Below are 23108 nucleotides of genomic sequence, written 5' to 3'. Positions count from 1 at the left end.
AACCTCTGCCTGCTGAGTTCAAGCGATTCTCCTGCCTCAGCCTCCTGAATAGCTGGGACTACAGGCGCATGCCACCACGTCCAGCTAATTTTTTGTATTTTTAGTACAGATGGGAGTTCACCATGTTGGCCAGGATGGTTTTGATCTTTTAACCTCGTGATCCACCAGCCTCAGCCTCCCAAGGTGCTGAGATTACAGGCATGAGCCACTGCACCCGACCCATTTTCTTTAATCTGGCACGGTTTCTGTGCGTTTCATTGTTTCTCATTACATTTACATTTTTTGAAGTGTGCAGACCAGTTATTTTGAAGAATTGTTTAGAAGTTCCATTGAGACACTGGGCATGGTAGTGTGCACCTGTAGTCCCAGCTAGTCAGGAGGGTGAGGCAAGAGGATTGCTTGAGCCCAGGAGTTTGAGACCAGCCTGGGCAACATAGTGAGATTCCACCTCTTAAAAAAAATCCTTTGAGTACTTACCGTAGACCTCAAAGATTCTGTGTTGTGTCGATTACCATTTGGGGGGTCAGGAGGACAGGGGGCAGAGAGTCAAGGAAACATATACAAGGTGATTTTAGATGATGATATGTAGAGTATGAAACAGGGCTGTGAATAGAGAGACTTTCGGGTCTGCTCTAGCTGGGGTGGTCAGGGAGGCCTCCCTGAGATATTTGAGATGAGCCCTGGATGATAAGAAAGCTAGATTCAGAGACTTGGAGAAGATATGGGGATAGAAGATTCCAAATAAGGGAAACAGCAAGTGCAAAGGCCCTGGGGTTGGATCTTGCAGAGTAGAGTTGGATCACACAGCTGAAGCAGAGTGAGGGAGGGGGCGTGAGACCGAGGGAAGAGGTCACTGAGGGCCTTGTGGGTCCTCATAAATGAGGACTTGGGATTTTTCTCTGGGCGAGATGGGGGCCTGGGAGAGTTCTGAGCAGAGGAGGGACAGGATCTTGGGGGCAAAAGCAAAAACAGGGCAACAAGGAGGAAACTGTGGTGGCAGGGTCAGGTGGTGGCCATGGAGGTGATGAGGACGTGGATAGATTTTGGAAATTTCAGGAAGACAGAGTCAGTGGACTTGGTCATGGACCAGATATTGGAGTGAGAGAAAGATGGTAGCCTTCCATGCTGCACAGCTCCAGGCCTGGTTCCTGCCCTCTCTCCTGATCCCCAAGCCCCATCTTTCTCTTGGCCCCACTTCGACGGTGACAGTTGCACAAGCTGACATTTCTGGGTAATTCCTCTCCCATCGACTTGCAGCTTATTTTTAGTTTCCTCAGAGCCATTAACTGTCCTTGCAGGCAGAGACTGGCAAGGGGTGGGGACTGGGATCAATTGGCAGTTGTCCCCCACATCAGTGCCTAATAACATATTTATGTGCAGAGATGACTTGGAGCTCCAAAGTGTCTCCAGAACTCTCGTGGGAATGACTGGTGTCAGCAAAACTGGATGCTGGCTGAGGGGTTTGAGTGGCAGAAAGTCCAGGGAACAGCCTTTGGCAGGGCCAGGAGAGCTGGGCAGGAGCTGGGGACAAGATGTCCTCTGAGGTTGAGTCGTTGACAGCGTCCAGAATTCAGGCAGGTGGGAAAACTTTTCAAGGGCCTTTTGGGAGTGGAGCCAAGAGGGTACTTGGCCTAGGAGTTTCTGGCACAGGCTCTGTGACCTCCCAGCCTGAGTTTGAATCCTGATTTTGACACTTCCTGGCAAGTCAGTCACTTAACCTCTGAGCACCTCGGTTTACTCATCTGTAAAATGGAGATGGTAGCACCCGTTTCAAGACGTGGTTGTGAAGATGAAAGGAGGCAGGAATACATGTGCAATTTTGTAACTGTGCCTTGCAGATAACAAGTGCTCAAGAAACATCTTCAACAAATATTTAGAGCACCTACCATGGGCCAGGCCCCATTCTAGAAGCTGGGGATAGAGCGGTGAGCAAAACAGACAAAAATCCCTGCCCTTAGGGAGCTGGCATTCTGGTGGGAGAAGATAGACAATTAATAAACACATAAGCTGTCATCACAGTGCTTTGGGAAGTTAGAGAGGAACATCATTTGAGTCCTAGAGTTCAAGACCAGCCTGGGCAACATAGCAAGACCCCATCTCTGCAAAAACTACCTTATTTTTTTTGTAGAAAAGCTGGGCGTGATGGTGCGCACCTGTAGTCCCAGCTACTTGGGAGGCTGAGGCAAGAGCATTGCTTGAGCCTAGGAGGTCAAGGCTGCAATGAGCCATGATTGTGCCACTGCACTCCAGCTTGGGTGACATAGTGAGACCCTGTCTCAAAAATAAATAAATAAATAAACAAACAAGTAAGCATCTAAAATGTATTAGAAGTCAGGCGCAGTGGCTCACGCCTGTAATCCCAGCACTTTGAGAGGCCAAGGCAGGCAGATAACTTGAGATCAGGAGTTTGAGACCAGCCTGGCCAACATGATGAAACCCTGACTCTACTAAAAATACAAAAATTAGCCAGGCATGGTCGCACAGGCCCGTAATCCCAGCTACTCAGGAGGCTGAGACATGAGAATCACTTGAACCCGGGAGGTGGAGGTTGCAGTGAGCCGAGATGGCACCACTGCACTCCAGCCTGGGCAACAGAGTGAGACTCCCATCTCAAAAAAAAAAAAAAGTATTAGAGGGAATGTGTTCTATGGAGAAGAGATGCAGCAGGAAGGCAGGCCCAGGAAGGCCTCACTGAAAGGTGACATCTGAGCAGAGACTGAAGGAAGTGAGGGGTGAACCATGTAAATATATAGAATGAAGTTTCCCAGGCAGGGAGCAGCAAGTGCAAAGGCCCTGAGGCAGGACTAAGGGTGACACGGTGGGGAGGCAGAGCTGCCGGACCACACAGGTCCCTGTAGGCCATGGGGAGGGCTTTGGCTTTTACTGTGAGTGAGACAGGTGCCTGCTGTAGGGCTCTGAGCAGAGGAAGAACCTGGCCTGTCTTTCGCTTTAGAGGGATCATTCTGGCTGCAGCGCTGACAAGAGACTGTAGGGGGTGGGGAAGCAGAGGCAGGGAGAGCAGAGAGGAGCAGCAGGATCCAGACAAGAGAGGGTGCTGCTGGGCCAGGGTCAGGGGTGGTTAGATTCTGAACATATATCAAAGTAAAGCCAACAGGATCCGCTGTTGGATGGGACCTTGGGGGAGGCCATCAAGGATGAATCCAGGTTTGGGCCTGAGTGACAGGAGGGATGGCAGAGCCATGGGCAGAAGAGGGAGATGGCGGGAGGAGGAAGTTTCAGGGAGAAGATCGGGGGTTGGGCTTTGGGTATGTTGAATTTGAGATGGAGATGGGGGAGTGGACACCTGGAGAAGAGAGTCTGGAGTTCAAGTTTGAGGTCCAGGCTTGGGAGTTGTCAGCATAGAGGAGTTTAAATCCTCAGGACTGGAGGAGATACTGCAGGCGAGGGTGGGTGAAGAAGGGGGCATCCCTGGGGCTCTCCAGTGGTGGGAAGGGTGAGGAGGAGGGGCCAGGAAGGTGGGAGGAGAGCCGGGAGTGGGAAGCTGGGTCAGATGCTGCAGAGAGGCTGAAAAATGGTAGCTGTGATTGCTGCTGTCAGGTCGGAGATGATGAGTCAGGAATAATAATCTCAAAAGATACTGAGCACTTACCCTGGGCCAAGCATCCTGTTGAGCACTTTGCAACCACCATCTCATAGGATCCTCACAACAGCTTCCTGAATCCAGAACCCCTGAACCTGGAATCGAGAGTGATGGAAGGAGCAGTGGGAGTCTCAGGCATCCAGGGAGGACTCTGTGGGCCGAGACCTAAGGTCCAGGCAAGGGGAAGAGGAGGCTGTAAGGGAAGGTGGGGTGGGGTGGTGGGGGGCAGACGGAGGAGAGTTTCCAAACACAGGTCAGGCTTCCCTGCCAGCTCTGAGCCCACTGATGCTGGTAATGCCAGGACTGAAACCATTGATTGACATGATGTCCCTCAGCCCCATCCATCACATCTGATCCTTCTCTTCCTTCCCGATATCTGGCTTGGCCTTCACCCCATCACATCCTCAGCAGCCACAGCCACACATCCCTGGAAATTCCTGGGTGGTCCTGAGAGGTAGGGGAGGGGGCCACGGGAGCTGCTGGGCCTGCACATAGCTCCGCTGAGATAGTGATCATCGAGAAGAATCCTTGAGGCATCTGACAACGGAGTAGAAAGCAAAACCACAGTATTGAGAGTCAGACAGACTCGGGTGGAATCTCACCTCTGCCACTAAACTAGTTATGTGACCTCAAACAAGTCACTTTTCTGGGCTTAAGTTTCACCATCTGTAAAGAGGGTTGGTTTTTTTGTTTGTTTTTTTTTTTGTCTTCAGTAGTTTTATCTTGAAATAATTTTAGATTATAAAAGAGTTGCAAAGATAGTACAGGAGTTCCCAAATACCCTTCACCCAGCTTTCCCTAATGTTACATAACCACAATACATTCATCAAGACTAAGAAATTCACATTGGGACATTGCTAGTAACTAAAGTCTATACTTTATTCACATTGCCCCAGTTTTTCTACTAATATTCTTTTTCTCTTCCAGGAGCCAATCCACAATCCCACATTGCACTTAGGGCTTTTGTTTGTTTGTTTTAAATAGACTCTATTTTTACAGCAGATTTAGGTTCACAACAAAATTGAAGGAAAGGTGCAGGGATCTCCCTTAGCCCCCTTCTCCCAATGCCTCGCCTCTCCATCGCTGGTGTCCCTCAGCAGAGTGGCACATTTGTTACAATTTATGACCTACACTAACACATCATCACACTCGGGATATTCTTTTATTCCGTTGGAATCTTCTAAATCATAAAAATTAAAAGAAACACAATCTGTGACCCCCATCCCTCAGGTCTCCCTTCTTCTGCCAGGCTACATCCTCAGAGGGTCTCCCCCTGGGGGATGACTACAATGGCCTCCAGTAGCTCTAGGCAATTTAGCAATCCCATGGAGGAGGGCTTCCCTTCCCCTAAATTCTAGCACAGCTCCCAAGACTGATACTCACTGGCCCAGCCCACGTCATATGCCCCACTCTGCGTGGATCACTCAGTGCCTCCGCCTGGGTCCCATGCCCACACTTGAAGTCTGGAAGGATGGGTCAGTCCTGGATGGCCCACATGGACTTAGACTTAAGAGGAGGTGGTTCTTTGAAGGAAAGTGGGGTGCTGTTACCAACGACAAGGAAGCGGATGCAGGCAGGAGCGGGCAGCGGAAGTCCCCCACTTCCACTGATGGGCCATGTTGTCAGGAGGCAACAAGAAGGAGCATGTGAATCACCAAGGGTGTGGTCTGGCCCGCAGTCAGTGCCTCCCAGAGGTCAGCCACTGCCATTCACAGGAAAGCTAGAACAGGGGTGGCACTGCTTTTGGGTCATGGCCTTTGGCTGCAGTAGGAGGGAATGAAGACAAACAAGAAGTGTCTTCCTGAGTAAACGGAGGCAAGGCTCCGTGGGTGAAAGCTCAAATTCCAGGGTGGCAAATTCAGGATCTCTTATGGTTGTGTGTGCACACACACACACACACACACACACTCACACTCACATCTGTGCAGTTGGGTAAAAGGCGGTCTTGGTCACCTCCCTAACTTGCCACAGCTTTTTCCTGCAGGCAGAGATAGCCAAGCGCCCATGTGTTCCACTCCTGCTTGGTAATTAATGAGCGGTGGCCCCCATCTAACCATCTGGGCCAGATAAAATGGCCTTGGCGCTGAGCTAAGCTGGTGTTGAATTATTTATCATCCGCATTTGCCTGGCTATTTAAGTGATGGACAGCAGGTGACCTTGCTGTGTCAGCTGGACCTGAGGTGCTGGTGGAACTCTCAGAAAGGGCCGGAGGCCCCCCCGACTTGTTTTCAAATCCAGGGGAGGGGCCAGTGGGGGAGGAGTAACCACTTCTGAGCACCTACTATGGGCGCAGCACGTGTGGGATTGCTTGCATTCAGCCTCACTGGACCCTTGCGTCCACCCAGGAGGTGGCAATGTTACCCCCAGTGTTGAGACCCAAAGGGGGACGTGACTTGTCCACAGTCACAGAAAGTGGGGAGCTGGGATTTGAACCCACCTCTACCTGGTCTCAGTCCAGGGATCTTCTAGCCCACCTCCCAGGCTGTCTTGGAGCTCCACCTCTAATCCAAAGGGATGCAGATGTTTATTTGACAAATATCAGTGAGCCTCCACTATATGCTGGGCAGTGGGTAGTGACCGGGGAGTACTTCGTTTTCCTTTTCAGTAAAAGGCCTAATAATGGCACCTGCGTGATGGAAGTATTGAGCAGAGGAGTGTGGTTCCTCCTGGCCTCACGGGCACTAAAGAGGAAGGCAAAATCTATCTCACCATCACTAATGCTATGGTGCATTTCTTTCCAGCCTTTCCCCATAGGTTTTTCTTCTGTGGTTAAGATCATGCAGCTGTTTTAATCTAACCTTCTATTTGGTTTAATATTGTAACATGAGCATCTCTCATGACATTGTACATCACTGTAGAAATGATTTGGATACAGCCTGGGAAACATAGTGAGACCTCATCTTTACAAAAAATAGAAAGATTAGCCGGGCATGGTGGTGCATGCTTGTATCAGCTACTTGGGAGGCTGAAGTAGGAGGATCACTTGAGCCCAGGAGGTGGAGGTTGCAGTGAGCCACGATCGTGCCATTGCACTCCAGCCTGGGTGGCTTCTGTTTCACTTAAAATTAGTGTGTCCATTAAAAAATTTTGAACAGTTTAAAAGGTATTTGCAAGGAAAGTCAGCCTCCTTCCTCCTTATCCTCTTGTCTTCCCAGCTTCTGTCCCAAGGTAACCTCAGTTACCCGTTTCTGGTGTCTCTTAGAGATGGTCTGTGCTTCTTTGGGAGGCTGTGGCAGGAGGACTGCTCGAGGCCAGGAGTTTGAGATCAGCCTGGGAAACATAGGGAGACCTCCATCTCTACCAAAAAAAAAAAAAAAACCTAGCTGGGTAGCACATGCCTGTGGCCCCAGCTCCTTGGGAGGCTAAGGCAGAAGGATCACTTGAGCCTAGGAGGTCGAGGCTGCAGTGAGCTATGATTGTGCCACTGCATTCCACCCTGGGTGACAGAGCAAGACCCTGTCTCAAAAAAAAAAAGAGATGGTCTGTACTTCTTCATGTATATTTCTCTTTAAACAAACACACAAATGGCAGCATGCTGAGCCACCACCCTGCACCTTGCGTTTGCATGCTTCTGTGTGTCTTGGCTACAGTCCCACATCGGTACACACAGAGCCAGCTTCTTTTTAATGACTTCCTGCATCACATCATCCAATGGATGGATCTTCATTGATCTCATTGATCTCTTATTGATAGACATGAGATTGTTTCCAGCATTTTTCTATTACATGAGCACTGCAATAATTATCTTTGTGCATATGTCCTTTTGCCCATGTGTAATTATGTCTGTAATGAAATTAGTGGGTAAACATGATATTTAATGATGATTTAATATTCCATTATTATGATTGAATAGAATAGTCACGGCAGACAAAAACCTTCCCCCAAATTGAGATTAGTTGGTATTCTTCCCATATCTGGATCACTAAAGGGTGCCATATACACATTTTAGCCACATACCAAAGAGCTGAGGCTAAAATGTGTATGAAAATGTTCAGCTAAGACTGAAGCCTTGAAGCAAGAAATTCCACTCGTTTTCCTAAGTGTTTATCTATTGGGAAGTTTAAATAATTTTTATTCATAGCTTTCAGTCATCAATGATGATTGCGGCTTTGTTTTATACGTACACAACACACACACATTTATTCTTCAAGTGACTGATAGAATTTGAAGATACAAAGCATATAGGGAACTTTTTGCTTCCCAAACTACATCAAGAATGATTATATTTGGAAGCAAATCTTTAGATATCACACCAGTTAGCTATTGTTGCATAACAAACATCCATAACAACTCATCAGCGGCATACACCCATCAGCATTTATTTAACTCACGGGTCTGTGGGTCTGGCTCATTGGGGCAGCTCAGCTCTGTCCATGAGTCTCTCATCCTCCTCTTGGGATCAGTGGGCTTGCCGAGCAAGTGGAAACACAAAGTCTCTCGCGGCTTAGGCGTAGAGTGGCTGTTCCTTCAATTCCACCTCAATCTATTGGCCAAAGCAAGTCCACGGCTGAGCATAAATTCAAAGGGCAGGGGAAATACGCTCTGGCTCTTGAATAGGAGGAACAGCAAATTCACATGGTAAGGAGCGTGGATTCTGCGATTGGGGAAGAATTGGGGCCAACAATGTGATCATTCTCAGATGTGAACAGTCTTAACTGATATACCCTGTTCCTATTACTGACACTGTTTTGCTGATTAGCTATGAAGATTACCTGTGTGACCTAGGATTAGTGACTTTGCACACAGTCAGGGATGCCACGAGTGGCCTTGAAGTAGGTATTTTGGGCCACAGGGCAGTTTTGGCCATGTCCTGAGGCTGGAGATAGACACTGGTCATGCCTGGGTGTTTGGCAGCAGTGGGAACCCAGGCCTACTGGCCCCTCTGTCTTGGCCCGAGCTGTGTCCCTGGCAGAGACGAGTCAGCTCTGCCCTCATAATGGCATAACAGGGGCCCTTCTCCTTGCAGGGGAATATGGGTCCCGCTGCCTTCTGGCTCCTGCTCTTCCTTCTCAAGAATCCTGAAGCCCTGGCTGCTGTCCGCGGAGAGCTCGAGAGTATCCTTTGGCAAGCGGAGCAGCCTGTCTCGCAGACGACCACTCTCCCACAGAAGGTTCTAGACAGCACACCTGTGCTTGGTGAGATCGTCAGACCCTCCAAGATAGCCCCTAAGACTGCGTCATCATGGACCCCCAAAGCCCTCCCCAACATGGACTCCTGTCTTCCAGGGTCCATCAGTGTGTCCTCCGACCTAGGGTCTCCCTAAGCCTCCTATCTTCACACACCTGGCATCTCCATACTCCAGCCTCAGCTAGGGGTCAAGTGACAGAAAACCTAACTTCAATTGACTAAGGTGAAAAGGTACTTTGAGACATGTCACTAAAAAGCCCAGAGGATTGGCTTCAGGCACAGGTGGATCCATGCACTTTAACAATGTCGTCAGGACTACTCAGTTCCTCTCCACCTCTCAGCCCTGTTTCCCACTGGGTTGGCTCCAGTCTCAGGCTGGCAGTAGCTGTTGGCAGCTCAAGGCTGACTTCCTCCTGGCTCTGTGAGACTCTGAATCTCTTACAGTGTTCCCACCAAGAGTCCCAAGACTGTGTCTCATTGGCTTTCTTTGGGTCATGTGTCCATCCTGAACCAATCACAGGGCTCAGAGGGATGCTCTGATTGGCCAGTCACAGCCCCATCCCAGGAGTTGAGCATAGAAGCAGCAGTCTAACCCCTGAGAATGAGAGAGGGGTGGACCCTAGAGGAAAATCAGGGGCCCGTTTCCAGAAGAGAAATATATGCCGGGCAGACAGGAACAGAGATTGATGGCCCTACTCTCTCCCCAGCCTTCTGATATCTCCCTAGCTCCCACCTTCCCTCACAACTTCTCTTGGGGTCAGACCTGGATACCCTCATGTTCAAACGTCTCTGAGGGACCACAGAGACCACATGTCATCGTGTGTCCTTTTTCACCTTGCTATGTGACTGTGTGGGCGAGGCAGGCACCCTCTCTGAGCCTCTTCATCTTCCTCTGTAAAATAAGAGCTGGGGTTGGCATATGAGCAGGTGAAGGGATAGCCCGCTGACTCTTCCTTGCACCTGCCCCATGCAGATAGCGTGCTGAGTGAGAGCCTCAGGCTTACAGCTGCCCCCTTCATCACCCGCGAGGTTGTGGTGGACCTGGCCATGCCCATGGCAGACGGGCGAGAATTCAACCTGCGACGTGGTGACCGCCTCCTCCTCTTCCCCTTCCTGAGCCCCCAGAGAGACCCAGAAATCTACACAGACCCAGAGGTAAATGGCAGGGGCGCCTGGTCATATGGGGTCTGTGGGAGAACAATCAGTGACTTTGGGATGAGCCAGATCTGAGTGGCAGCCTGGCTCTGCTCTTTGTTTGCTATGTGACATTGCCCAGATTGCTTCACCTCTCTGTGTTTGCTTCCTCACCTGTGAAATGGACCTCATAATAGCACCTGCCTCATGAGATTGATAGGAAGATTAAATGGGATCATGCATAAGCAGATATTGATGGCCCCACTCTCTCCCCAGCCTTCTGATATCTCTTTGGCTCCTACCTTTTTTCACAGCTTCTCTTGGAGTCAGACCCAGATCCCCTCATGTTCAAGGGTCTCTGAGGAACCCTAGAACATGAGGGGATGTTCATTCACACTGAGTGCTTTGTGATAGCTCAGCCATTTTCCTTATTTCAGATTGTTATAATGTCAGTTTCTCAACACTTTTGCCTTGCCCCAGACTTTGAGAAGAAGTAAACTTTCACAATTGCTAACAGATTGGGTGTTTACTGTGTGTCAGACCCTAAACTACATGCTCATCTATCCATCCATTCATTCATCTGCCCATCTACTCATGCATCTGTCTATTCATGTATTCATCCATCCATCCACACACTCACTTATCTACCTATCCATTCATCTATCCATCCGCCCATCCATTCATCCATCCACCCACCAATTTACCCTTTCATCCACCCATCTACCCATTCATTTATCCATCCAGCCACCCATCCACTCATCTATCCATCCATCCACTCATCTACCCATGCATCCATCTGTCCATTCATCCATTCACAAATTCACCCATCCATCCATTAATCTATCCATCCACCCATGCATCCATGCATCCATCCATCCATCCACATACTCACCCATCTACCCATCCATTAATCTATCCATCCACCCATCCATCCATCCATCCACCCATGAAGCTACTCTTTCATCCACCCACCTACCCATGAATCCATCCATCTATCCATCCGTCTGTCCATTCAATCATCTACTCATTTATCCATCCATCCACCCACTCATTTATCTACCCACTCACTCATATGTCCATCCACCCATTCTTCTACTTATCCACCCATCCATCCATCTATCCACCCATCTACTCATCCATCCATCCATTTGTCCATTCATCCATTTATTCATCCATCCACCCATCAATCTACCCATTCATTCACCCATCTACCCATCCATCCATCCACCCCATCTACCCATCCATCCATCTATCCATCCCTCCATTCATCCATCTTTCCATCCACATTTCCATCTCTTAGTCTATCCACTGGTTCATTCACCTATCCTTCCACCCATCTTTCAGTCGGCAGCTACTCCATGCCAAGCTCTGTGCTCAGCTACAACCCTTGCCTTACCACTGTGCAGTGTAACCAAAGGAAATTGGCATTTTCTTTTTAAAAAATATTTTAATTTCTTTTATTTTACATTACAAAAGTAATATATATCATAGAATATAAAGAAATACAGAGAAATATATACTTAAATGTAAAAAATATGTATTTCCCTTCTTCTCCAGTTCTACAGAGTTCTCTGACCAAGGTTTGGAGTGTGCCTTGCGAATTGTTTTCATGGCTTTACAGGCATACACACAACACATTCACATGCCATGAAAAGATTGGTGTGTGTATAGGATCATGCAATATATACTATTCTGAAACTTGCTTTTTTCACTCAACAACCAATTGTAGAAATTCTTTCCATGTCAGTACACACAAACCTTTTGCCATAATTTTTTAACCAATCCCCTATCAATTGACCTGTATATGGTTTCCAGTTTTTCCCTCTTATAAACATGACTGTCATGAACATCCTCATACATTTTTCTTGGTGTGAGCTTGTTCTGGGAATGGGGTCAGAAAAGGACCTTCTTCCTATTTCAGGTATTTAAATACAACCGATTCCTGAACCCTGACGGATCAGAGAAGAAAGACTTTTACAAGGATGGGAAACGGCTGAAGAATTACAACATGCCCTGGGGGGCGGGGCACAATCACTGCCTGGGGAGGAGTTATGCGGTCAACAGCATCAAACAGTGAGTGGGGGGCCAGGGCAGGGCCAGGGTGGCTCCTGATCCCCTGGTTGGCAGGCGCCCTTCTCTCCTGGGACTGAGGGCTCAGCCAGGAGAATGGTTTGGCAGAGGCTTCACATGGACAGCCCGTGAGCCATCTCTTATTTGTGGTTTTACAACTGTGTGCTTTTATAAATCAGAAGAGCTCGTGTAAAAAAGCCAGATTTCGGATTTCTTTTGAAATAATCAGATCTGGCAGCAGGTTCTTCCCTCCAAGACTGGTGTCCAGATTCCAAATACTGGACATTCCTTTCAGCTGACCGTAGCTACCCGTCTGCAGCTGCTGCCGCATGTTCAGAACTTCATGTTAGGAACTGGCCGAACTTCACTGTTCCCACTTGGTTATTTTAATACCTGTGGGGCCGAGAGCCTCATAAATTATCTCCCTTGAACCCCAGGAGCTTTGGCCACCAGGATCACAAACAGATTGGACCAGGGGTTATGACATCTGCCCTGTCCTCCTGTCCAGCCCCTGTGCAATCATAAGCTGGGTTACCTTCTGAGCCTGTTTCCTCAACTGTAAAATGAGGGTTCTGATTATAACTATACCCCAGGAGTGTCAGGATAAATGAATTGGATCTTTCTAAGTTCTTAACCCACTGTCTGGCTCATTGTAGGCATTTGAAAAATGTTAATTATTACCATAATTGTTAATATCATTATTGTGCATGCATTGTGCTAAGTGAGTGGGCACGTTACATAAACCTTTAGCCTCAGTTTCCTCAAGAAAATGGAGTCAATTATGAACATAATACAGCTCATATGCATTCCTTAAAATCACCTTGCTGTGTGAAATCATGCAACAAAAACTGCAGGGATTCACGCCTGTAATCCCAGCACTTTGGGAGGCCGAGGTGGGCAGATCATTTGAGGCCAGGAGTTGGAGACCAGCCTAGCCAACATGGTGAAACCCCGTCTCTACTAAAAATACAAAAATTGGCCGGGTGTGGTGGAGCGTGCCTGTAATCCCAACTACTCAGGAGGCTGAGGCAGGAGAATCTCTTGAACCCAGGAGGTGGAGATTGCAGTGAGCCAAGATTGCGCCGTTGCACTCCAGCCTGGGCGACAGAGTGAGACTCTGTCTCCAGAAAAAAAAAAAAAAAAAAAAAAGAAAGAAAGAAAGAAAAAACTGCAGGGATTGAGGGAAAAGGGGGACTGGGGCCAACACTCAAAAACCTCATCAGTGACATAATAAAAAAAAAAGAGAGAGAGAGAAGAACCCAGTAAAAAAAATGGTAGTAAAGTTTTATACATGTTACCTGGCTAAGAACTATGTAAGTGCTGTAATAACTGTGGCTGTAGATCGATGCTTAGTTGTGTGCATGTGTATATTTTATGGATTTCTGCACACCCAGGTTCAGCTGGGTGCAGTCTTTCGTCTTCACCTCATGTTTCTCACAAGTGAAATTGCACGTGAGCAAATGTGAAACTTGCATTATATTCAAATGGTGCCCTAATATATCAATCCTATTGGAACAAATTCACCTGTTCAAAACAAGTGTTAGAGCAGAACCGACTGGCATTCCTACCTCATCAAGTTTTTGGACAGATAAAAAGAGATAGCGGGTACTAAATGCTTAGATGGTGCCTAGCGCACAGTGTTCCAATAAATTAGCTAATTTGTTGTTATTTTTATCTCACTGAATTGTCATGACAACCCTGCTGGTCCATCTAAAACCGAGTCTAGGCAGGTCAGATCATTTGCCGTGTTCCCAGGAAGTGGAGGTGCAGGAGTTCAAATCCAGGGGTGGGCACAAAACCGCCATCCCTTAGAAACTCACCCTCTAGTTTCCTACAGCCTCAGAGCTGGAAGAGACTCAACATGCCTTTCCCCTCTTTGACCAGATGGGAGAACTGAGACCCAGAGTGGGTAAGAACTTGGCGAGGGCCACATTCCCATAAGCGGCACAGCCCAGATCTGTCCAGAGTGTTAACTCCCCTCTCTCCTCATCTGCCCTCTTCTTCACTCCTTCAGTGAGACAAAAGAATCCCCACCATGTGCTCAGTGCTGCATCGGGCGCCTGGGTTGGGGTAGGGAATAGTGGTGGGAAAAGAGTCATAAGATATTCTCCTGACCCTTACGAACATGGGCATTGGTAAGATGAGGCAGGGAGGCAGCAACCGTTGACATCCCCCGTAGGGCTGCCTCCACATTTATGGGGGCACTGATTACATCATAGGCATGGCAGCTGCGAATAGTTATTATGACAGTTTTCCCAGAAGATGGCAGTAGAGAGTGCTTGTTCTTGCAAAGTTGGTCTATTTAGGACAATTTTCTCAGAGATGGCAGTAAAATGTCTTGAGAGCGATGCCTGTTTCTAATCTCACAAAGACACCTAAGGGTTAGCAGCAGTCCTGGCCAAGATAGACAGTGAGGGTTCCAGGAGTGTGGGGAAAGGCGGCAAAGTGTGTGGGCTGGAGGATCCAGAGGAGTCGCCGTATTAATCAGCACAGGCTCAGCTCTGCACCTGCCGAGTCTCAGTGGCTTTTACCAACAGAGGTGTAGTTCCACTCACACGGTATCAGCTGTGGGATTGGAGGGCTTCCCCACTCTGTGCACAGACTCGGGCCAGGCTCTTTCCCTCTTTCGGCTCCACCGTCTCAATGTGAAGCCTGCATGGCTGCCAGGCAGGAGGGACAGCTGGAGAGCCACACACTGGCTCGCGAATGCTTTGACACAGGAGTGACACAGGCCACTTCTGCACACAGCCCATTCACCAGAACTCATCCACGGGCCTGCCTAACCTTACAGGGGGCTGGCAAATGTGGTGAGCAGCAAATGCGTTTCTTCTACTTCCTCACTCCTCTCCTCACTTTACTCAAAGTTGGAGTCAGACTTAGGAGGCAGCCATGGCTCCCCTGCCTTGTTCCCGATAACCCCCTGCCCTACTCCTCTCCTTCACACCTTCCATGCCATCTCTCTGCAGATTTGTGTTCCTTGTGCTGGTGCACTTGGACTTGGAGCTGATCAACGCAGATGTGGAGATCCCTGAGTTTGACCTCAGCAGGTACGGCTTCGGTCTGATGCAGCCGGAACACGACGTGCCCGTCCGCTACCGCATCCGCCCATGACACAGGGAGCAGATGGATCCACGTGCTCGCCTCTGCCCAGCCTGCCCCAGCCTGCCCCAGCCTCCCAGCTTTCTGTGTGCACAGTTGGCCCGGGTGCAGGTGCTAGCATTACCACTTCCCTGCTTTTCTCCCAGAAGGCTGGGTCCAGGGGAGGGAAAAGCTAAGAGGGTGAACAAAGAAAAGACATTGAAAGCTCTATGGATTATCCACTGCAAAGTTTTCTTTCCAAAATCAGGCTTTGTCTGCTCCCAATTCACCTCGTTACTCTCACCTCGTGATATCCACAAATGCTATTCAGATAAGGCAGAACTAGGAGTCTTCACTGCTCTGCCCCCAACTCCCGGAGGTGTCACCTTCCTAGTTCTTATGAGCTAGCATGGCCCGGGCCTTATCCAGTCAAAGCGGATGCTGGCCACAGAAAGGCCACTCAGGATGTCCTTTGTGTCCATTGATGTCATTCAGCAGTCAGTCCCCCAATAATCCTTAAACTAGCTAAAACCAAAGGAGTCCCTTAGAAGATCTGCTTCCCTGGGGCCCCATTTGCCAGATTGCCCCATTGCTCACACTACTTGAGAAAATGCAGGAGAGCTTCCCCCAAGGCTGATGCATTCCCGGTGCAGAACAGGGGCACCCTCCAAACACTGGGCTCTGAGGAGTGGAGTTCTCTGTTCTAGAGTGACAGGCACCAGATGGGATGGGCTTTCTCAGTGTCAGCACTCAGGTAGGGAGCTAAGGAAGACACAGCCCAGACAAGATGGCTGGAAGGAGCCAGCCAGGACTCCTTAGACTGATCAAGCCAAAAAAGAAGGTGCCGATTTCATGCATTCTAGTGCAGAAGCCCCAACTGTGATCACGATCCAGTCTGCAGACGTGTTTTGTTTGGACTTCACTTAAAAAAATGCCTTAGTTGTTATCATCTTTGGGAGAGTTCATTCAAAATGTCCAGCTTCTCTTGAAAACTTGGTATATCTGGCCACACTGGGCTCACATTCCCAAGGGTAACTCTTGGCCAGAGCTGAGTGGCAGCCGCCTCCCTTATGCAGGACATGTGCTCTCGGCTTCACCAGGGTTCTGACCGGGTCTGCTTCTGCATTCACAGCGCCTCCTGGACCTGAAGGCATCTGAGTGTGAGACCCTGTTCTAACTCTTAGAAGTGACATTGTAAGAGGTGGTGGGGACCAGCTAATTGGTCCAACCCAGCCTGAGTGCACCACCCTTTGAACAAATGTATCAGTGATGAAAATTTGCCTTTGCCCCGGCTTGCCTGTAATCCCAGCACTTTGGGAGGCCGAGGTGGGCGGATCACTTGAGGTCGGGAGTTCAAGACCAGCCTGGCCAACATGGCGAAACCCCGTCTCTACTAAACATAAAAAAATTAGTCAGGTGTGGCGGTGCGTGCCTGTAATCCCAGCTATTCAGGAGGCTGAGGCACCAGAATTGCTTGAACCCAGGAGGTGGAGGTTGCAGTGAACTGAGACTGCGCCACGGCACTCCAGCCTGGGCGACAGAGCAAGACTCTGTCTCAATAAATAAATAATTAATTAAAATAAAAAACAGCTTAAAGAGAAAAATGGCCTGCAAACCTTTTTTATGATGCTATTTTTATTAATATAAAGTCCTGTTTATTGAGACCCTTTAAATGCCTGCGAGAGACCCTACAGACAGTATGTCTACTCCTCACAGCATCTCTATGAAGAGAAGGAGGGTTGTGCCCACTTCATAGATGAGAAAACTGAGAGGTGAGGTGACTTGCCTGGGGCCACATAGCTCATAAGCTGTAGAACTCTGCAGGCAGATTTACTGTCCCAGGAGCAAATGCTGGATGAGCAACTCCTGTTCTTTGGGCTCAAGGGGACTGGTGATGGGACAATTCTTCTCGACTTCAGGAGCTGACAGAGCCAGAGGCACCTAAACTTGGGTACATCTTGTAAGACACATAATGAGGTCCCTCTAGCTTTAGCTGGAGGGAGATAAAAGAACCCCAGACCTCTGAATGTCCCAGAGGCTAGTCTCTTCTCAGAGCAGCACTGGGGTTTGGGGGCTTCCCTGGGCCTCAGCCTCCAGGCACCCCCAGGATTCCCAGAGAGACGCTGTGATTGGCAGGAGGCAGGATATCCCCAGGGAAACCCATCTTCACGCCTGGGTGACCCCCACTGCCGCCTCCTTCTTAACTCTGCAGGAAATCAGAGCTGGCAGCCTCCAGTGGGAGGACAGAGCCGGTTTCCGTGGCAACCCTCAGCTGCCTCATCGTGGCTGGGAAGGGAAGGAAGCAAGCCGGCAGAAATAGCTATGGAAGGTCTTGCGCAGGCTGCAACCCTGGTGTGCTGGGCGAAAACCCTTATGACTCCCCCCTTCCAAATCAGGCTGGGTTGTCACTGAGACTAGATTCTCACCTGCCTTCAAAGAAGGGCCAATTCCCTTTAAAGGTCGCACCTCCTTGGAACCACAGTCATTAGTGAATTACACTCAAGGAAAAGATGTGCTCCCACCAGGCAGCTCCAGCTGTTACCTGAGATACTGAAGTGCAGCTCAGGAGACGATTATTTAAACCTGCCCTTGTTTTAATCGTTATTTTTCTCTTTAAAAAAAATAGAAGCTATAAAGAAAAGAGGGAGAGATGAGTGGGTTAGCTACCTGCTATGCGCTAGTTAGGAAGTTACCTGGATGCCATTGTATTTCTTCATCCCTTGCTTAAGAATCAAAATTACTGGACATATGTTAGGAATACTCTTTCTTTCTTTCTTTCTTTTTAAGCTCAGTGGCAAGAATGAAATACTCTTTTTTTTTTTTTTTTTTTGAGATGGAGTCTCGCTCTGCTGCCCAGGCTAGAGTGCAGTGGCGTGATCTCGGCTCACTGCAAGCTCTGCCTCCCGTGTTCACACCATTCTCCTGCCTCAGCCTCCTGAGTAGCTGGGACTACAGGCACCCGCCACCACACCCGGCTAATTTTTGGATTTTTAGTAGAGATGGGATTTCACCGTATTAGCCAGGATGGTCTTGATCTCCTGAGCTCGTGATCTGCCCGCCTCGGCCTCCCAAAGTGCTGGGATTACAGGTGTGAGCCACCGCGCCCAGCCAAGAATAAAATACTCTTAAGTTGATCTAATGAAGTGTTTCCTTACCATTGTGATTATTGTTACTATTATTTGCTATATTTTAATATTGTTGTTTACCAAATATTCTCCTTTAAACAGACTCGCTTTTTAAACTTTTTTTTTTTTTTTTGAGACGGAGTTTCACGCTTATTGCCCAGGCTGGAGTGCAATGGCACGATCTCAGCTCACCACAACCTCCACCTCCTGGGTTTAAGCAATGCTTCTGCCTCAGCTTCCCAAGTAGCTGAGATTACAGGCGCACACCACCACGCCCAACTGATTTTTGTATTTTTAGTAGAGACGGGGTTTCCCCATGTTGGTCAGGCTGGTCTCGAACTCCTGACCTCGTGATTTGCCTGCCTGGGCCTCCCAAAGTGCTAGGATTACAGGCATGAGCCACCATGCCCGGCCTAAACTTTGTTTTTAAAATGAACTTTTTTTCCCCCCAATTGCTGCCAATAGTGGATAACATGTATCACTCACTGCCAAAAATAGAAAGTGACCATGAAAAATAAATTCGCTGGGGAAGGGGGCTCCATGCTGGTGTGGCCAAGGCTGAGAGCTCTCTCTTCTCTGTTACAAAACGAGATAAGCAAGTGTTAGAATTGCCTTAAGGCCACACTGGCATCTCCCTGACCTTCTCCAGGGACAGAAGCAGGAGTAAGTTTCTCATCCCATGGGCGACCAGGGCCATCTCCTCCCACCAGTGGCCCCCACTCACAGGGAGCTGGCAATGCCCTACCTGCCTGTTCTCCAGATGGAGAAACAGGCTCTGAGATTTCACAGGTCTTGCCCAAAGTCATTGATTTTGATGATTAAAAAGAATAAACACAGTGTTTCCTGAGTAGCAGTGATTGTTATGCCTTGCTATTTTAATAAAGATTCTATTTTCGTATAACATTGTCAAGTGGAAACATGCTGAAATCTATTAAACCATCTTTGTTTGTGGAACTGCCTCTGAGTGTGATTCTGATGGAGGGCATTGGCCGTGCCTGGAATGGTGAGGTCAGCTCTTGGGACAGGAGAGCACAGAGCATCTACTCTGTCCCTTGCTGTGGGCCCAGGCCTCTCACAGACAGAACTGAGTCACACCTTTACCCACCCTCCAAGGCATAGATGAGTATCCCCGTTTTTACAGAGAAAGAAACTGAGGGTCAGAGAGGTGAAGTGGTTTGCCCGAGAACGTGTGGCTAAGAGGTAATAGACCTGGAATTCAAATGCAGGACCCTCTGCTGCCTGAGACAGTGTTCAGGATCTTTCTTTCAGTGATCCTCCGGCTGGCAGCAGAGGGACTGGGTACCCATTAGAGCAGGGGTCCACAACCCCTGGGCCACGGATCAGTATAGGTCCTTGGCCTATTAAGAAATGGGCTGCACAACAGGAGGTGAATGGCGAGTGAGTGAGCAAAGCTTCATCTACATTTACAGCCACTCCCCATCACTCACATTACTGCCTGAGCTCCACCTCCTGTCAGATCAGTGGCACCATTAGATTCTCATAGGAGGGCGAACCCTATTGTGAACTGCACAGGCGAGGAATCTAGGTTTCGCACTCCTTATGAGAATCTAATGCCTGGTCATCTATCACTGTCTCCCATCACCCCCAGATGGGACCATCTAGCTGAAGGAAAACAAGCTCAGGGCTCCCACTGATTCTACATTATGGTGAGTTGTATAATTATCTCACTATTTCAAACAATGTAATAATAATATAAATAAAGTGCACAATAAACGTAATGCACTTGAACCATCCTGAAACCATACCTCCCACCCCCACCCCTGGGTCGCTGGAAGAATTGTCTTCTATGAAATCAGTCCCTGGTGCCAAAAAGGTTGGGGACTGCCGCATTAGAGGACTTTGGGGTAGACCCTGGTAACAAGCAGACAACACAAAAGCTCTCTTTAAAATTCACCGGATGCTGTCCATCCTTCACCAGAATGCATGCATTCATGTTAAAATAAAAAAGAAGGGGTGAAATGGATTAAATAAGCCTTGGGAGAAATAAAAAGAGAAATTTGGTTTTTTCTCTCAAATCTTTGTATAGAAATAATATCCCAGGGCAGATGTGCCTCACGTCAGTTTCCTCATCTGTGAGGAGGTCATGGAGGCACATCAGGTGGGATGGGATTTGGCAGTGAGTGACAGACTTCTCAAAGTAACATAGCAACATGTTATATATTAACATGCTTTCATTCAATACCACAGGTTTTTTTTTTTTTTTTTTTTTGAGATGGAGTCTTGCTCTGTCTCCCAGGCTGGAGTGCAGTGGTGAGATCTCAGCTCACTGCAACCTCCGCCTCCCGGATTCAAGGGATTCTCCTACCTCAGCCTCCTGAGTAGCTGGGATTATGGGCATGTGCCACTACACCCAGCTAATTTTTGTATTTTTAGTAGAGACGGGGTTTCACCATGTTGGCCAGGCTGGTCTTGAATTCCTGACCTCAGGTGATCTGCCCACCTCGGCCTCCCAAAGTGCTGGGATTACAGGCATGAGCCACCATGCATGGCCACATTTTTTTTTTCTCTTTCAAGCAGATACGGGAGGCCAGAGGTGGTGTGACATCTCCACAATCATGAGGTTCCCTCCTTTCTGGACCCTCTAGCATCTGTAACCAGTGGTTTCCACCTCAGGGGCCGTTATGGCTGCTTAAGCTCCAGCCATTTTGTCCACATTCCACCCAGCAGGAAAGAGGGTGAAGCAAAGAAGAGAAAAACCCCTGCATTCATCCCATTGGTCAGAACTCAATCACATGACCACAGCTTGCTGGACAGACAGGAGGCTGGGAAATGTAGTCTTTCTCTTCAGGACATCAGTATGTGCCCTCAGAGGGGTACCATACCCCAGTTTGAGAAGTGCTGCGTTATGCTCTCTTGTTTACCAGTCATGGTCTGAACCACATGGCAGGGCCAGAGGGACAGGGCTTGGCTTCCCTGAGCCGCTGACCTAGCCTTTGTTATAACCCAGGTCCTAGTGATCTGCAGCTCCAAGACTTTGGCCTTTCATACCCTTGTACCATTAAAGTCAACAGAAAGACCCAGTGTTTTATTTTGCCAGGTAAGGACATTAAGAAATACATTTACTCCTACTGTCAGCTTATGAAAGGATATTTTAATACCCCTAAAGCAGAAAGGTAGGTTTTATATTGGAATTAACACAACCACTCACTCAAAAGTCTATATTGAATAGCCCAAAAGGTGGAAACAATCCAGATGTCCACCAACTGATAAATGGATAAGCAAAATGTGATGTATCCCCCATTCCAATGGAATAATATTTGTCAATAAAAAGGAATCAAGTACTGACATATGCTACAACACAAATGAGCCTTGAAAATATTATGCTAAGAGAAAAAAGCCAGTCACAAAAGGCCACTTATTATAGGACTGAATGTACATGAAATGTCCAGAATAGGCAAATCTATAGAGACATGAAGTTGGCTAGTGGTTTCCAGGGATGGGGAAATAGGGAGAAGTAGGGAGTGACCACTAATGAAACCTACTAAAATGGATCACTGTGATGGTTGTGAAATTCTGTGAATGTACTAGTAAATGGGCAATTTTTTTTTTTTTTTTTGAGACAGGGGTCACACTTTGTCACCCAGGCTGGAGTGCAGTGGTGTGATTTCAGCTCACTGCAACCTCTGCCTCTCAGGCTCTAGCTATCCTCCCACCTCAGCCTCCTGAGTAGCTGGGACTACAGGCCTGAGCCACCATGCCTGCCTGGCTAATTTTTGTTTTTGTATATTTTGATAGAGGGGGGTTTTGCCATGTTGCCCAGGCTGGTCTCAAACTCCTGGGCTCAAATGATCCTCCCTCCTCAGCCTCGCAAAGTGCTAAGATTATAGGTGTGAGCTGCTGTTCCTGGTCATGTGGGCAAATTTTATGATATATGAATTATACCTCAAGAAAGCTGTTATGCACTTTTTAAGTAAATATTTTGAGCACCTCTCATTGTACCAGGCACTGTTCTAGACAACAGGACCCGGCAGTGAGTAACACAGACCAAAAAAATGATATATCCCTGTCTTCACGGCGCTGACATTCTCATGGGAGAAACTGTAAGAAATGAGGCAAATAAGTAAAATATAAAGCAGTTCAAATGGAGATAAGTGCTTTGGAGAAGAATAAAGGAGTCAGGAGATGGGAAGTGAGATTTGAAAGAGAGTGAGCAGGAATGGCCTCCCTGGGGGAGCTTTGAACAGAAACTCGATGGAAATGAGAGGAGCAAACCACTGGGGCATCTGAGGAAAGAATGTTCTGGAGAGATGCAATGGCAAATGTGAAGATGGGAAGCTCTGGGGCAGGTTCTAGGAGCAGGAGGGAGGCAGTGTGGCCAGCAGCCACGGAAGGCTCTGGGCAGAGAAGGGCCATGGTTTAACTTGTATTCTAGGAGGATCCATCTCACCGTGCATGCTGAGGGCTGGGAAGCTGGAGACCAGGGAGGAAGGGACTGCACTAGTCCGGGCAAGGTCTCTGCCCTCATAGATTTCACATTTGGGCAGCAGAGGCCATCCAGTAAAGAAACAAATCAGCATAAATACAGTGTCAGATGCTGAGGACAAGCAAACAGCAGGAGGTGATGGATGCTGACACGGAGATGGATGTGCCTGTGGCCTTGGAGGCAGTCAGGAAAAGTCTCCAGGCAGGTGGCGATAGGAGTTGAGATCAAGATGAGAGATCGCAGCTTTGTAAAGAACTAGAGGAAGAACATTCCAGGAGAAAGAGACTACAAATCCAAAGAACTCTAAAGAGGCAAGGGGTTTGGTGTGCTGGAGAAAGAGAGCATCCCAGGAAGGCTGTGGCTGAGTGAGGGGGTGGCAGGAGCCACTCTGGGAGCAGACCTTGTCAGGAAGAGGAGGCTGGGCTTTATGCTAAGTGCCCTGGGAAGCCATGAGAGAGTTTAAGTAGGAAAGTAAATCACCATCATCCTTTAAATGGAATCAATTTAGCTTTATACAAATCTCATTCCA

The 23108-nt window shown here is 48.3% G+C and overlaps 1 protein-coding gene across 1 annotated transcript in view, besides 1 other annotated feature; it reads left to right on the top strand.

Moving 5' to 3' along the window:
* PTGIS (prostaglandin I2 synthase) overlaps window positions 1–19089 on the top strand; it is a 64264-nt gene extending 45175 nt beyond the window's left edge. The window contains exons 7-10 of the mRNA NM_000961.4: window positions 8568–8736; window positions 9702–9883; window positions 11784–11935; window positions 14899–19089. Coding sequence (NP_000952.1) covers window positions 8568–8736; window positions 9702–9883; window positions 11784–11935; window positions 14899–15043 — 648 coding nt within the window. The 3' untranslated portion in view covers window positions 15044–19089. The remainder of the gene's footprint in view (window positions 1–8567; window positions 8737–9701; window positions 9884–11783; window positions 11936–14898) is intronic.
* Window positions 17280–17781: an enhancer, noted in NCBI's record as "H3K4me1 hESC enhancer chr20:48121719-48122220 (GRCh37/hg19 assembly coordinates)". NCBI's record gives its function as "activates a minimal SCP1, AML or CMV promoter by ChIP-STARR-seq in naive H9 embryonic stem cells {active_cell/tissue: H9 hESC(naive)}" and the evidence as "EXISTENCE:reporter gene assay evidence [ECO:0000049][PMID:30033119]".

Source organism: Homo sapiens, chromosome 20, assembly GCF_000001405.40.
Source record: "Homo sapiens chromosome 20, GRCh38.p14 Primary Assembly".
Lineage (NCBI taxonomy): Eukaryota > Metazoa > Chordata > Mammalia > Primates > Hominidae > Homo > Homo sapiens.
Note: the sequence above shows the minus strand (reverse complement) of the source record. Positions and strands in the feature narration are given on the sequence as shown.